The 17,560-nt window shown below is 33.5% G+C and overlaps 1 long non-coding RNA gene across 1 annotated transcript in view; it reads left to right on the top strand.

Moving 5' to 3' along the window:
- Positions 1-2,223: 2,223 nt before the first annotated feature.
- LOC105370307 (uncharacterized) overlaps positions 2,224-17,560 on the top strand; it is a 47,998-nt gene continuing 32,661 nt past the window's right edge. The window contains exons 1-2 of the long non-coding RNA XR_001749951.2: positions 2,224-2,307; positions 9,072-9,135. This is a non-coding gene — a long non-coding RNA (uncharacterized LOC105370307). The remainder of the gene's footprint in view (positions 2,308-9,071; positions 9,136-17,560) is intronic.

Below are 17,560 nucleotides of genomic sequence, written 5' to 3' on the forward strand. Positions count from 1 at the left end.
GTATCCATAACTACCCATTTTCTTACTGGCATCTATACTACTTAGTTATTAGCCATCATTTCCTTAATTTTTTCTTCCACCCCATTAAAGGAAAAAAGCCACTAACTTTCTTGTTTTAGTCACTGTTTATTAATAACCTCTGGAAATATAACTGTCATAGAGTAGATGCTCACTAAATATTGTCTAGTGGTGCATGATTAATCAACCATATATAATTATAATTATAAAATTATGTCTAATTTGCTTCAACTATAGCACCGTCATTGACTGAGATTCGGGTGAATATTAGCTAAAGTGATTATGCTCATATAATCGCTATTCTAATGTTCATCTTTTTGATAGTCTCACTTTTAATTTTAGGTTTAATGTCTTACTTCCTGTTTGATTTATTAAGTTAAATAATCTTGAAAATTCCTATGTACTTTGTCTCCCAATAATAATATGCTCCATCATTATTGCTTCTTTTGAGTTATCTTGTAAGTGGCATTACACATGTGCCTTTAGTTTACATTCTGTTCTTTGCCCATTTTCTTTTATAGTTTAAATTTACTGGTACAGTTTTCTAAAAACTGGCTTCTATCTAAGCTCTTGTGACCAACGATTATTTTGTGATTTAGGGCTCACTGGTCTTCACAGACTTCAAGTTCACCCAAAATAGGACTGTCTGTTTAAGCATTAATTTTGAGCTGAAAAGTGCCTAGAGCTTGATGCCCCAGATAGAAAAATTTTGTGTATATATATATATGTGTGTGTATATATATATGTATATATATATATATATACATATATATATACACACACACTCATACACACACACACATATATATATACATACCCACATATATATATAAATGGCATGATGACATGATATAAAAAGTTGATTTTTAATTTAAATTATGTTATATATAATATAGAAGATAAATTATAATATTAAACTTTATATACTGTATTTTAATTAAAACACATCTTTAAACAAGAAATATTTTTGAATCTAACTCAAATGTTTTCATGTTTTAAATCATATAAATATTTCTTACATATTATTTTATTTGAGAAAAAACTATATCCCCACATAACTTTTGATATTATGTCAACTGAAGCAAGTACTCTAAATATCTGAGCTCCTTGAGGAAAATGTTTGTATCTGTACTGTTTATTGTTGTGTGCCCAAAAATTCATATAGTGTCACACACTTAGTAGAAATTCAACTAATTCTTGCTTAATAGTCAAACGAATTAATAAACTGGACCTCAAACCATGCAAAACTTGAAGCGTGCATAGGTTAAACATTTGGTTAAGATTGGAGTTTATATGGATATATATATCAGTTACATATTAATATCACTGATTAAAGAGTTTACATGCCTTTCTATTCTAGTACATAAAGGCCTGAATTTCAACCCACAGAAACTGCATCTACTTGCATGAGGACATTCTTTGATTTCCAGAGACCTCTTCCCCATTTCTAAATCTGGTTAGGTTTCCCAAATTATTGAAACCTTCAGCAGAATTCCTCTAACAATGACTTATAGGAGTTACTGTGTACATATCTGAATCACACAAAACTTATATGGAATAATTCTCTAGTATGTTTTTTTCATTTGCTCCCAGAGCCTTCCATTAGTATTAAGCTTAGTTACCCACAATGGTCACTTGCTTAATAATGCATCTTGTATTGTACCATTTGCTTTTATTGTACCCTTTTCTTTCCTACTTCCTATACCCATAAATACCCAAAATGGTGATTCTTGGGATCACCCCCCAAATAAGTTATATTCATTTCAGTCATTTTCTCAAGTTGGCTTCTGGAAATACCTAATGAAGACAGATTCTCTCTCTCTCTCTCTCTCTCTCTCTCTCTCTCTCTCTCTCCCCAACCCCCTCACACACACATACACACACACACGTTCAAATACAAAACAAATACTCCTGTTGTAAATATATAAACAGTATATAAGGTTACCTAAGTGTTTATGTGGAAGCTGGATAGCCTAATGTATAGGCTGTCCCAATTATAAATTGATGGCTTACCTGTTCTAAATGTACACTTAAATGCCCTTCTTTGTAACATTGGAGCTCTATCTGGTAAACATCTCTTTTTGACAGCTCAACAAGTATTAGACTTTGTCAGGAGAGAGTGTTCAAAGGATAACTGAGAAAGGAAGGAGCCCCTCTCCTCTTCTATGTGAAGCACTTACACATATATACTCTTGCTTATAGGATATGGCTACCAGGAGAAAGCTTGCTTGTTGGTGGGAAGATTCCTTTTCAGTTGTCTGAAGGAGACCCAGTAATGAATGCCCTTTGGTAAGTTTCTCCAGCACATAGTTAGAGAGCTTCTTGGTGAATTTTACTTTACTGCAGAGGGTAATTCTTACCAAGTTTTCTAGCAAGGCAGTGGACAGCTTCTAACTGAGTTTCACCAATAGCTCAGTGACAGATTTCCTTCCTGACAGTCCTAACCTACAACACCTTAGCATATCGCCCTGCCATTAAGTAAACAGCAGCCTCACCCTCTTGCATGAGCTCTTGGCCTCAGTCTCAAGGGTTGGGATGTGAAGAACTGTCCTCTAATGGGCTGCTTCCTACATGTGCTCTTCTTGTATTCTTTAATGTTCTCTTTACTCAAATGATTAGTGAATCTCTGATTACTAATTATTTTATATTAAAATTTTCCTATTCAGAAAAAGCGTGATTTTGGTTCCTTTAATGTACACTTACTAATATATCTACTAATTATGGCTTGTTAAAATATTGTTATGTCATTTCTAAATGATACTTTGTTGAGAAGACAGGAAGGAAATACCTTTCCTTAAATTTCAAAGGTGTTTTTGGCCTCCAAAAAGTTTGAAAATTACTAGTTATCCATAAGAAAAAAAGTATGCCCAAAACTAAGAAGGAATCAGAGCAAATTGGACTAAAATTGGAATATCTATCTCGAGCTGAGAGATACAACGATAAGTTTTCTGATTGTACAGATGCTTAAGATCGAAATAGTAAAAGATGAACACCCAGAAATTAAGTGAACACTCATAGACAGTGAGACTGACAGTGTGATCTGAGGTTATATTTTAATATAATGGCTTTCTAGTCGGAAACCTACAGATTGGTCTTTTGTTGTCAAGAATAGTATAGCATAATGCAATAGCACTCTAATTATCCCTTTTCTGGATTATTTGCATCATATTTTTGAAATTGAAGAATATTTAAGAAAAATAATGTTACATGATAGCTATTCAAATGATGACGATAATACATCAAACATTTATGACATGAAAAAATTACTGCAACTTAAAAAACAATTCAGTATTTACACAACTGGCAAAATGATTTTGTGTCCTAAGAAATTCTGTGCATTAGAAAACCCACAATTGACAGCAACACCTTTAGTGTAATTGCAATGACTCATAATGATGGCATAAAACTTCATCAGTAAAGCATAACAAATTTTTATTTCTATATATATAGAAACTTTCCAGTAAAACACATATATTTACACACACATATATATATAAACACATCCTCTCAACATATGTATATATGTATATACATATATACATATTTATACATATATATGCACATATATAAGGAAAAAATATATATATATATAGAACTATGTACATGACCGGGATATGTATATGTATACATATGTGTGTGTATATATATATGTGTGTATTTTTCCAGGAAAGTTTCACAAATATTGTATGAATGAAGTGCCTACTCTTGTCTATAGGTATTATTCTGTGAAAGAAGTTTAAGTCATTATGATGTATAATTTTACATATAAAATTATAATATTGATAACCATTTTTTGCCTAAAACTATATATTTAGTTTGGTATTATATAAATCTTGGCAATTATGCATAAAAGAATAGAATAAACCAAAAGAAAAACAAGGCAACTATATTTGTGCATAGAATTATTATTTTATACTTTTCTTTAAAAGTATTAGCTCTGAAGTCAATCTCAAGGCTGTTGGAAATGTAAAAAAGTAACTTTTCTGTAATTATAACTTCAGATTGATAGATGAATATCCATACAGATACAATATATTTCAGAGTTATCAGGAATGATCAATAAATTATGTATGTGTATAATTATGTATATATTTTTTTCTTTTGAAAATGGTAGTAATACAACTGCTACACAATTATACTACCGATCTTTTCACTAATTCCTAACAGATTTGCCTTAGTCTTGCGTTTAATATGCTCTCAGATCATCAGTATTATTATTTAAATTTGCTACTACTGTCTAATAAAAATTACTAAGGAATAAAATATAGAAACTTGCTTCAGAAATGATTAAGACATGTTCAACATTGATTATTTAATAAAGTATATTTTAAATAATAAACATGGTATATCATTTTAAGAATGTTAACTGAAAATACATGTTTACCTCCCCCAAATCTTTGTGAATAATAATTGAAAAATCTATAATAGTATGGAGATGGAGTGCATGTTTGTGTGTTGTGAGGATAATGGTAAAAGAAGTATAAATATTTACATATTTTGGAGAATTTCTCAAAGCACAAAACACACTGGTTCGCACATTGGAAGCCACAGCCTGAAACACATTCCAGAGGAGACAGAAGCCAAGATGATTGTTTGTCCCTATGCTCAAAAGAGGTAGAGAAGGACAGTTGCTTGTGCAAGGAAAAAAAATCATGGTAGGTAATTCACAGGCTGTCTAGAGGAAAAACAGTTCTGCTTTTTATTTTCATCTGAATCTTCTATTATCATCACAGATAAATTTTGTATTCAGAACAAAACACAAAGGAATTATCTGAAAAAATTAAAAAGCTACCTTAGGAAATATGGAATCCTTATGTAGGCAATTATTTATTACTGGAAACATCTCTTCAATCTGCCTCAGAAGTGAGAGGGAAAAAAAAGTCTGCTGTGGGCTCCACGCACATTAAAGTAAATCCAAATACTTGCTTCCCCTACATGCACAAAATTCTTGGTGAGAAATGCCATCAGAAGACAGATTTGTTCAGAGACATGTGTGTTTAGGCATACAGAATAAAATAAAAACCCCGAGCAGCCCTCTACATGAATGAGCCTTCTCTTATCTTCATATATGGTAGGGGTTGACAAGTTTGGTCCCAGCAGACAATCCAGCCCAACACCAGTTTTTGTGTAGCTGGTGAGGTAAGAATACATTTGCAGTTTTAAATAGTTGTAAAAAAATTTAAATACGATTTCACAACATAAAAATATATGAAATTCAAAGCTCAATGTTCATAAACAGAGCTTTTAATTTTTGTTTTAGGAACATGGAGATATTCCCTGGGTTACATCTATGGTTAATGTCATGTTGCAGTGGCAGAGATGAGAGGCGAGTAGTTAAGATAGAGGGAGTAGAATTTGCAAGCAGAAATGATATCGATATGGATATAGATGTAGATATAGACTGACAGATCTATAACTATATTGAATCTATCTATCTATCTATCTATCTATCTATCTATCTATCTATCTATCTATATCTATCTATAATAGCTGGGGCCTATCCCAGCAGTTCAGGGTGCAAGGCAGGAATTTCACCCTGGGAACGCCAACCCATGGCAGGGTGCGCTCACAGACACCTACATTCACTCATATTGGCACAATTTACACATGCCAGTTAACCGAATATGCACAGTTTTGTGATGTGGGAGGAAACTGGAGTACCTGGGAAAGACTCACACATACATGGGGAGAAACAAGAGCTCACATAAACAGTAGCCACTGTATTTGTGTAGAGAGTTCTTATTTGATACACAGTTTTCCTCTTCAGGAACTTATTGTTTCATGCTTCATGGCGTGCACTGCTCTTTCCTGTATTTTCAGTCGCTGTTCTTGGAACAAAATACTATGTTTATTATTTAAAATATATGAAACGATCAATACTGTACATGTCTTAAGCATGTCAGATGACATATCTGACCAAGGGTATTGTGCAGGTGGGAGAAGCAATTATTTGAGTTTACTTTAATGTGCATGGAGCCCACGGTAGACTTCTTTTATTCCATTTCTGAGAAAAATTAAAGAGCTCTTTCCAATCATAAATAATCACCTATCATTAGATAAAGAACTCCATATTCCTTAAAGCAGCTTTTGTAATTTTTCAGATAACTGCTTTGTTTTCGTTCTGAATACAAAAATTATCTATGCTGAGAATAGGAAATTGAGATGATTGAGATTAAAATTAAAAGCAGATTGAAATGCTGCTTTTTAAAAGTAAAAAGCAGATTGAGATGAAAAGAAAAAGCAGAACTCTTTTTCCATATATATCTTTTATTTTTATATGTATTTATTATATATATATTTTATCTTATATTTTATATACAAAAGATATATATTTTATTTTCATTATATATGTATGTTTTCCATATATGTACATATATATGTTTTGCATAAATGTATGTGTATATGTATATTCCACATATATGCATACGTTTTTCCATGTCTATGTTTTCCATATACTTATATATGGATAAACAGTTATGTATGTATGTATATAAACCATATATGTATATGTCAGGTCTTTGACTAGCAACATTTCTTTATAACATTGATGAGAAAAATAAATGATTCCTGATAGGGTCCCCCGTCTATGTGAAGTTCTCACGTTCTCCCCATGTTTGTGTGGGTCTTCTCCAAGTACTCCAGTTTCCTCCCACATCACGAAGCGGTGCGTATTTGGTTAATCGGCATGTGCAAATTGCCCAGTGTGAGTGAATGTGGGTGTCTGTAAGTGCATCCTGCCATGGGATGGCGTTCTGCTAGGGGTTAAATTCCTGCCTTGCATCCTTAGCTGCTGGGATCGACTCCAGCCACCCACGAACCTGAAGTGCAATAATTGGGTATATCATTATCCTGCTTTTTATTAATTTTCCTTAAATGTACATATAGCTCAAATTCATTTTAATGTTTTATATCAGAAGTGTTTTATCTTTTTCTGACAGATATATGCGATAGGAACTTGACTCTTGCTGTTATCAATTAGCCTATAGTAAAGTTGGTTTCGTTATGCATCATTTTGCTTGAAGTCACAATTTCCAAGAATCTATCCATGGCATTAGGTGAGGACTATGCTCTGTGTATATATACACACAATTGAGCCTTGAATGTGGGGGTTAGGGTCACTGACCCCCTGCCCAGTCGAAAATCTGTGTATAACTTTTGACTTCTCCAAAACAACTACTAATAGCCTACTGTTGACTGGAAATATTACCTACAACATAAACAGCTGAATAACAAATATTTTGTGTGTTGTGTATATTATATGCTGTATTTTGTAATAAAGTAAGCTAGAGAAAAAATGTTACTAAGAAAATCACAAGAGAAAATATACTTACTATTGGTCAAGTGGAAGTGTATCATTTTAATAAAGATCTTGATCCTTGTTATCTTCACACTGAGTAGACTGAGGAGGAAGAGGAAAAAGGGGAGTTGCTCTTGTCTTGGGGTGGCAGAGACAGAAGAAGTGGAGGAGGTGGAAGGGGAGGCGGAAGAGGCAGACACACTCAGTGTAACTTTACAGAAATACACGGTAATATCTGCCTGAATTTTTGCTTATTTCTCTAAAAATGCTTGTGTATATTATAGTAGCAATCTTTCTTCCACTGTTTGCTTTAGTTTCAGTGCTTTTATCATAGAAGGGTCCGTGTAGTAAAAAAAAAAAAAAAAAAAAAAAAAAAAAAAAAAAAAAAAAACTGTCAAAAGCAGTCCTGAATAGTTGGAACCCTTTTGACAGACTGTCTAATATCAATTAGTTTTCTGGCACTGCTTCTTCTACCTCTTATTCTCTTCTTCCTCATCATCTGGCCCTGATTTGGAAGCATTCATCTGCATCAAGTCATCACCTGTTAAATCCTCTGTTTTCATTTCCATTAACTTTTGATTTTCTCCAAAATCCTTATCTTGAAAGTCTTGACCACCTGCGTCTTTTTCACTATATCCACAATCTCTTTTATGATTTTCTTGATTGGTTCTGTTGGAAATCCTGGGAAGGGGTGCACAATATCTGTACACAGTTTTCTTCTTCAGGGATTTATTGTCTCATGCTTCATGGCTTTCACTGCTTTTTCTGGAACAATGTTGGCACCTTAAATGTTGTAATCCTTCTAGACTTGCATGGTGTTCTCTGTATCAGGGTTCTCTTCTACAGTTTTGACAGTCATTGCTACAAAGAATTAAGTGTAATGAGTCTTACAGGTTTTTAAGATTCCCTGATTTAGAGGATGAATTAAGGATGTGTGTTTAAGGGCAAGTAGACTATTTTGAAGCCTTCTGTGTTGAACTCATGGGGTTCTGAACGGCCAAGGCTTTGTCCAATATCAAAAGAACTTTAAAAGTAGTCAGTCCCTTACTGAAAAAGTAATTCCTCACTTCAGGGACAAAGCGTCACTGAAAACAATTCAGAAAAAGTTTCTTATTGCCCAGGTCTTCATATTGTACAATAAAAAGGCTAGCAGCTGATGTTTATCTTTTTCCTTCATGGCTCTAGAGTTAGCAGTTTTGTAGATAAGGGCAGTCCTGATTATAATCCCAACTGCATTTGCACAAAACAATAGAGCTCATCTACTAAATGTCTTAAATTCTTGTGCTCACTTCTCTTCCTTCTTAATAAATGTCCTTTGTGGCATTTTTTTTTCCAGAATAGGGCACTTTTGTCTAAATTAAAAACCTATTCAGCAGATATTTCTTCTCCTCAATTATCTTGGGCTTCTGGGAATTCTTCTCCTGCCTCTTCGTCAGTAAAAGCTGCTTTTCCTGCTAATCTTGACATTTTTAAAGCCAAACCTTTTTAAAAATTGTCAAACCATCCTTTACTGGTGTTAAATTATCCAGCTTAATATGCTTTACCTTCCTTTTGCTTTAAGATGTCATATAATGATGTTGCTTTTTAAAAAATTCATTTTAGATTCTGTTAGTACGCCTTTCTTATAGCAATCCTGTACTCACATAAAAGCTGCAATTTTAATATGAGATAAAAAGGTATTTTGCAAAAACTGCAAGGTTTGTGTGCTGGTTGGCACAGCTACAGTGATGGCTTTACATTTTTTTTCTTTCTATAGTGCCTACACTGGGTTCGTTTATCTTGACATGGCCGTCAACTGCAGCTGCAGACCTCAACCTATGGTACGTACCAAGTAATTTAACTTTTTCTTGCAATGCAATGACTTTTATTGGCTTATTGGGAAAACCTCCAGCATCACTAGTGACATTTTATGAGGGTCCCATAATGTTATTTAAGATTTAACTTATTGCACTAAATATGATTTATAACATGGCGAGAACTCTGTGAGATCACTTTTTACTGTGATACACAAATTCACTGGAGAAAAAAGAGATAGCATCACACAGCATTTTAAGTGAATATTTGAAACTTTTGAGCTCATTGCAATAGCAACAAGAGGTGGCTACATAATTATTACAGTATTACAGTCTGTACTACAGTTAATTTTAAGTAGTAATGACTTACTACTTATGTTTGTTTACATTTCTACTGTAAGCAGCGTATGTACAGTATGTGTGCTTTGATAAATATTAACTTTTTATTATAGATTTGGTTATTTTTATGGTAGTACTAATAAAATAGATTTATGGTAGTACCTAATAAAATAGATACTACCTAATAAAATATATATATATATATATATATATATTTTAATTACATATAAGTGGACCCACCCCGTTTGAATCAATTTTGTTCAAGGATCAAAGTATGTATAGTCATGTGCCACACAATGACGTTTTGGATAATGATGGAGTAATATAATATTGTATTTTTCCTGTAATTATTTTATGATTAGATACACAAGTATTTACTATTATATTTGTCTACATTATTGACTACAGTAACATGCTCTACAGCTTTGTAGCTTAGGAGCAATAGGTTGCCCCATATAGCCTAGGTGTGTAGTAGGTTACAACATTTAGGTTTGTAAATATCACTCAATTGAATAAAAATATAACATTATACTAAAGTCATTCATTTAGTCTTCAGCTAGGTGAATGTAATATGGAAAGTGCACAGGAAAACATATCCAAAATAAATTACACAACTTCACTAATAAATAATTCTAAAAATTTGCGTGGTATGTACAATAGCTTTAAAATTTTTATCTTGGCTGGGGCATGGTGTCTCACGCCTGTAATCCCAGCACTTTGGGAGGCCGAGGCAGGCAGATCACAAGGTCAGGAGTTCGAGACCAGCCTGCCCAATATAGTGAAACCCTGTCTCTCCTAAAAAATACCAAAAAATTAGCTGGGTGTGATGCCGCATGCCTGTAATCCCAGCTACTCGGGAGGCTGAGGCAGGAGAATCGCTTGAACCTGGGAGGCACAGGTTACAGTGAGCCGAGACCACGCCACTGCACTCCAGCCTGTGCAACAGAGCAAGACTCCATCTCAAAATAAAAACCACAAACAAAAACAAAAAACAAACAAACAAGAAACAAATTATCTTAATAAGATCAGCCTTATGAGCAATACTGAACACTAAAATAAAATGTAGCAGAGCCTTTTTGAAGGCAGGTTGTTTGTGCTCAGGTTTCTTATTGAAATACCAAATAAAAAGTTTAAACTAATAGACAACATAAAAATATCACTGAGAAAATCAAGGACTCAGAGAGTTTTCCTGTTGTTCATCACTTGTGTAAAGAATATGTACAACTTTCTAAAGATTATTTGAAAGAAACAGAGAAATAATATAGGCTCCTCAGCTGGAATATACAGTAAACATCTGTGCAACAACAGATTTGTATTACAAGAGGAATTCACAGGGTTATCAATACATTTTCTCACCAAAAATATTTTTTTGAAAATGAATGATTAGGAGGACAAAAATTATATTGTTTTGGGAAAGTAGGCATATATTTTCTCTGTTAGAGAAAAACACAGGTGTTGAAAATTTTGCAGACTTTGTGTTTGCACGTGTAGCATGTGTTTGCATGCTAAACAAAATTCATCTTATAAAAGCTCATTTCAAATACAAAAGCAAATTAAATGCAAATCAAAGCCACAGTGAGATACTGTCTCACACCAGTCAGAATGGTGATTATTAAAAAGTCAAGAAACAATAGATGCTGATGAGGCTGTGGGGAAATAGAAACGCTTTTACACTGTTGGTGGTAATGTAAATTGGAAGACAACGTGGAGATTCCTCAAGGATCTAGAATCAGAAATACCATTTGACCCAGCAATTGCATTACTGGGTATATACCTAAAGGAATATAAATCATTCTACTACAAAGACACATGGACACATATGTTTATTGCAGCACTATTTACAATAGCAAAGACACGGAACCAACCCAAATTCTCATCAACAGTGGACTGGATAAAGAAAATGTAGTACCTGTACACCATGGAATACTATGCAACCATAAAAAGAAATGAGATTATGTCCTTTGCAGGGGCATGGATGAAGTTGGAAGCCATCATCCTCAGCAAACTAACACAGGAATAGAACACCAAACGCCGCATATTCTCACTCATAATTGCGAGTTGAACAATGAGAACACATGGACATGATGGGGAGAAACACACACCAGGGCCAGTCAGGGGATAAGGGCTGAGGGGGGAGAGAGCATTAGGACAAATAGCTAATGAATGTGGGGCTTAAAACCTGTATGGTGGGTTGATAGGTGCAGCAATCCACTATGGCACATGTATACCTGTTTAACAAGCCTACACGTCCTGCACTTGTATCCCAGAACTTAAAGTAAAATAAATAAATATTTTTTAAAAAAAGTAAACTAATACAAAATATTTAAATAACTGTTATGATTTACAAAAAGAAAACTGAGTTGACATTGCTTTCTAGAACAATTTCCTTAGAGGAACAGAGATCTAAGGTGCATATGACTGATTTTCTTTTCTGTGGGTCTAACATATAAGTGATTAATACAGCTTATTTAGTGTATTTTAATTGACCTATCAGATAAAGAAAACATGCACTCATACACACATAGTACATGAATTAATCAAGCTATAAGTCAAAAGCATATGCTCTGTATTCAAGAGCTTGAAGGCTTGAAATCTAAATTTATACTTTATAGGCTAAGCAACCTAAATCTGCAAGTTTCTACTTTATGATTAAATGATACTACAGACAAAAATAGTGACATAAAACTTATATCACGATTGTTATTAAGATTATTTACCTTCTCAATCAACCTACAGAAAAAAAATTGAAGAGAAATGCACTTAATGAACAGATTCTAAAAATTAAAAACCTTGGCAATGTTAAAGTAGCCATAGAGTTATATAAGTTGAAAGACAAAAGGAGAGCCAAAGGTGGTTGATGCAATATAAAGGATTTTGTTTTCTTATTTCACATAAATGATAAATGATTGCTTTCAAAGTGGATAGTAAAAAATTTAGTTTTAAGGTTAGTGTTTTAAAATTGAAAGTTCACAAATAGAAGGGGCAGTTGACCAAAGCAGGTGATCGAGAATATATTCAAGTCCATCTTTGGTACCAAAGCAAAAACTCTGGGTTAATTAAGGTGTGATTGATTAGAAGACTATTGACTAAGTACACTTGGACAAGTACACTTGGATGAATCCTTTGAAAGAGAACAATGCTCACGATATTTTAAAATATGGTCAATTCAATAGGCTTACTAAAATTTTCCGTATTATCAGGCTAAATCTAACAAAAATTGGTAACTGAGAGAAATAAACAGGACGTTGCAGAGGGCTTGACTATAAGATAATTGCAGAATTAAAAAAAGGGATTTGTATTTCAATCAGTTTATGGAATTTGGGATTCAAAAATAAAACCCGAGTTTCAACCTTGTATGAGTTGAATAAGAGAATTTACCTCTATAAAACTATAGATACATTAAGGGTGAACATAAAATAATATGATGTAAAATAACCTCACCCATATTCTTGGAAATTTAAGGGAAATCACTCACCTTAGCCTTGATCAGAAATTAGAAGGGAAAAGAGCAAAACCTCATTTCTGAAAAATTTTAATCATAGACCACTCTTTACATAGATGTATAGCGGTCCAAAATTATTAAACAAAAAATGAGGAGAAATTGATTCTTGGGAAAGGCATTAGTTAATCATTATATGTAATGATGAGTTTTTTGTGGAGGCCGTTACATCTTGTCAAACTCAAATTAATATCACAAATAAGTTTCCAATTAAATTTAACAACTCAGGATAAGAATTTATTAAGCACACGAGAAAATAAGCTGTCATAAGTAAAAAACCAGCAGAATGAGTGCTGCTGGGTTTCATTTTATATTCTCAAAGGCCAATTATTTACTTTAGTTATTGGTCTTTGAAAATACAAAATGAAAAATAAGTGTAATTACTATTTTCAAAAATAAAAAATACATGTTTTTAAACACAGAATAAAGAGAATATATATTGACTCATTAGTCAGACTTGAGAAATGAGCTATTAGAACTTTCAGAAATAAAATATTCAATAATTGAAATGGGAAATCAATACACAGGCTTCATGGCAGTTTAACTATAGCTGATGAGAGAATTAATAAACTGGGAGATATATTTGAAGAAATGTTTCCAAATGGAACACTGATATCAAAGAAATGGAAAATATGAAGCAGAAGCTAAAGATATGGAGGGATAATGTGTAATGTATGTAATATAAACCTAACTGGAGTTCTCAAAAGGAAGAATATAACAAACGGACACAGTCCTAATTGTCAAATTAACATTGGAAACATTTTCAGAAATGGTGAGACAACAATCAAAACATTCAAATTATACAATAACAAAACATTCAGGTTATACAACAAAAAATTAAGATATGCAAAAAGAAATCCAAGAGTTGATTTTAATATCTATGTTTATTAACATTAAGTTAATGTTAAGTATTTTAATATTTATATTTATTTTATATACCTATAGGTGTTATATTTAATATCTTTGTTCATATTATATTTAAGCTGTATTTTATCTTATATATTTACTTTGTAATGCTGTATTTGTTTTTCATATTTGGCTCATTTGTTTATAACTTACCTATTATTTATGTTTTATTTACAATATATTGTATATATGCCATAATTTATAATAATATAGTAATTATTTTATAATTATATGCATATATTATGTTATATTACCTATCTGAATTTTTAATTATATAATATATTATATACTAATTTCATGTAAATTTACCATCTATATTTAATATCTATATTTATAATGTATATATTTAATATCTATGTTTCTTTACATTATTTGAATGCGAACATAAACATTTGGTATTTGGAATACAACAGATAATTTTTGACTTTTAGCAGAAAATCATGCTGATTCCTCATGTTTAGTATTCACCTTCAGGGGTGAATATGAGAGCCAGGTGAGATGTCACCTTGTAGACACTGGAGTTTGTAAGATAGTCCAGGAGTCAACAAAATCTGAATCTGGGTGTTAACGTAAGAGAGAGAGAGAGACCTGTGCACCCCAACCCCAACCCTCTTGATAAATGGAGAGAAACGTTTTGATTTCTCTTAAAACAAATTCCCCTTCAGAATAGAAAGGGAAAACATTTAGGGACCTTAACATTTGCAATGTAAATACACATCTCCTAGCAGAAGATAAGACCAGTGTCTCTAGCCTTACAATCTACAGACATCTTTGTGGTCCCAATTTCCAATCACCCTTGAAATGTGAATACACACATTGAGGGAAATAAATGTCTCTGGAATTCTGATTATCTTTTCTGTCATTTTTATTTTCTGCAAGATCTTCTCAGAAAGTCCTGACTACACAGAAATGTAGAAACATTCAGAAATAGTTTTATAAGGCAAAAAGCAAAATTAAGAAAATAAATAAATAGGTAAAGAGAAAGAGAGGAAGGGAGGAATATATTCAGAGTCAGAATATAAAATGTTGTTGGACTTCTCAACAACAGACACCAGGAATGATCAACACCATGTACTCAAAATGCAGAGAAAATATACTTTTCAACCAGAAATATTAGTTTTCAAAAATAAAATTGAGTAGGACCAAAGAAGTTAAAGTATAGCATTTTCCACTGGAAACAATTATTAAAAATAAATCTAAAGGATGTTTTTAAGGCAGAAAGAAAATAATTCTGGATGTAAATTTTGATATGTATGAAATAATGAAGAGAAAAATAAAAAAGATAAATAGACATACTATTGAGAGGAGTTAAATTGATATATATATATATATATATATAAACATATAAGCTTTATCCTTCAAGAAGTATGAGTTAAAAAGCGACTGAGTTCTATATAAAGTTTTCACAAAACTTTATAGTGTTAAAGTTTTACACTATCAGCTCTCAGAAAGCAGCACTGACAGGAAAAGGAAATCTATGTCTGCAATGTATGTATTGATTCCAGTCAAGATAATTCACTCTTCCTTGTGAATTCACTGCTTCCTTGTGCTGGAAAGCATTTGACACAATCAACTCGCCAGCAACACTAGATTCTCTCTTCAAGAGTTTTTTCCATGGTTGGCAAGTTGGACTTTGGCAGTCCCAGTGGATAGATCCACCTTGGTGAAAAAAAATCTATGCTATTGTAACCACTCATAGCTTCAAATCTCTGTCATCAGCTACTTAATTCATCTAGGGTAATGAATATAAGATGACTGAAACTGACTGATATAAACTGGCTGAGTCATTCATTCTACTTTGTTGTTTAGTACCTCTTCCGTGGTAGGTAATCCATGATGTAAGTTCACATGAAATACAAAGTTCTCTCACTTTGCACCCACTCTGTTAAGTCCACTCACAAACTTTTTTTTTCTTACACGCCCCCTTATGCCTTAGCTTTTCATCTTTGTCTTTACTAGCTTCTTTTTTTTTTTTTTTTTTTTTTGAGACGGAGTCTTACTCTGTCACCCGGGCTGGAGTGCAGTGGTGCCATCTTGGCTCACTGCAAGCTCCGTCTCCCGGGTTCATGCCATTCTCCTGCCTCTGCCTCCTGAGTAGCTGGGACTACAGGTGCCCGCCACCATGCCCAGCTCATTTTTTGTATTTTTAGTAGAGACGGGGTTTCACCGTGTTAGCCAGGAAGGTCTCGATCTCCTGACCTCGTGATCCGCCCGCCTTGGCCTCCCAAAGTGCTGGGAATACAGGCGTGAGCCACCGCGTCTGGCTGTCCTTGATAGCTTCTAACCAACCATCCAAGCTATTTGTGGCTACCCTTGACTCTATGTGTATTCTAACCATAAGCCAGCTCTTTTTCTACTTGGAATGAATGAATACAGGTACACTCAAAGCTCTGGCCACTGGGGTAATTTTGCCTAACTCCTTTGTTTTGTATTATTACAGCCTCACTATACCTCTGAGCAAGTCTATAGTGCAATACAATTGCAAATTCAGCACAAACTGTGCTGACTCATCAGAGAATCCCACCCCTCCTCTTTCAGCTCATTATAAGAAAATACCACATGCTAGTAGATGTGAGCAGTAGAGGGACATCATTGTAACAATTTCGGGATGGCATGTTGTTGGGCACCAGTTCATGCAGCTTATTTGTGCCCTCTGGACCTGCTTGTGCCTAATACTGAATTTTCCACATTAATATTACAGTGGATTTCTGTTACACCAGCACATTATGGCATTGCTTCGTGATTGGCAGTGCTAGCTATATGATCACTTGTGGTTTCATGATTCAGTATCTACCAAGGCCCAGTAACTCTCTGGAAGCTCCTTTTCCAACATTATTCCAGACCCAAGAAATGTGAATAACCCCTTGGGATTTTCCATAAGTACCACCATAATGTCTGGTCCCACCACAGATAGCCTGGTACCAAAGAGCCAACTGCATTACATGGTCCAAGTGTATGACTGCTTGCATGGCTGTTTGGATGTGTTGCAGTGGCCTTTACTGTTTACGAGCTTTTCATAGGATTTATCTTCCACTTTCTTTACCATGGGTCCTAATAAAACCTTCAATGTAATTTTACTTTTTGCACATATGTTCTTATTTATATGATGCTGTCAATATAATGGGCCAAGGATATCAAAGTAGACATTGTCTCTTCAGAATGTTATAATACAGGGCAGGAGAATCACCACAGTTCTTGAATAAGGACAAAATGGTATTCTAATTTTAAAATTGTATTTGAATTCAGAATTGTATTGTAGCTCTGTGTAAATGTGAGTTACTTTTGAGGCTCCTTTTTGACATGGATATAAAAGACCTTCCTGGTGTGAAAGAACATACATGCCAAATCAACAGCCATATATTATGTGCACAAAATTGTGTTACTCTCTTTTGAGAGAAAAAAAAAATCCTGTCGAGAACTGAAATTGAGGCTATTACTTGGTTGAGTGTATAACAGTCAAAGACTATCTGCCATGTCTATTTTCTCAAAGGTCAAAAATAATGAATTAATGTGTAATATCATAGGAACCATCACCTCAGCATGCTCTAAATCTTAAGGTGACACTGAACTAGGCCATTCCCCTGAGATCTGATATTATTTTAGATTGAGCATCTTTTCTGGGTTTCAGGGGGTGGCTATGTTAGAGATTTTTAGTTTAAATTTTCTCTTAATAATCAAATAGGACAATTCTAATTATATGTCCCAAGA

Source organism: Homo sapiens, chromosome 13, assembly GCF_000001405.40.
Source record: "Homo sapiens chromosome 13, GRCh38.p14 Primary Assembly".
Lineage (NCBI taxonomy): Eukaryota > Metazoa > Chordata > Mammalia > Primates > Hominidae > Homo > Homo sapiens.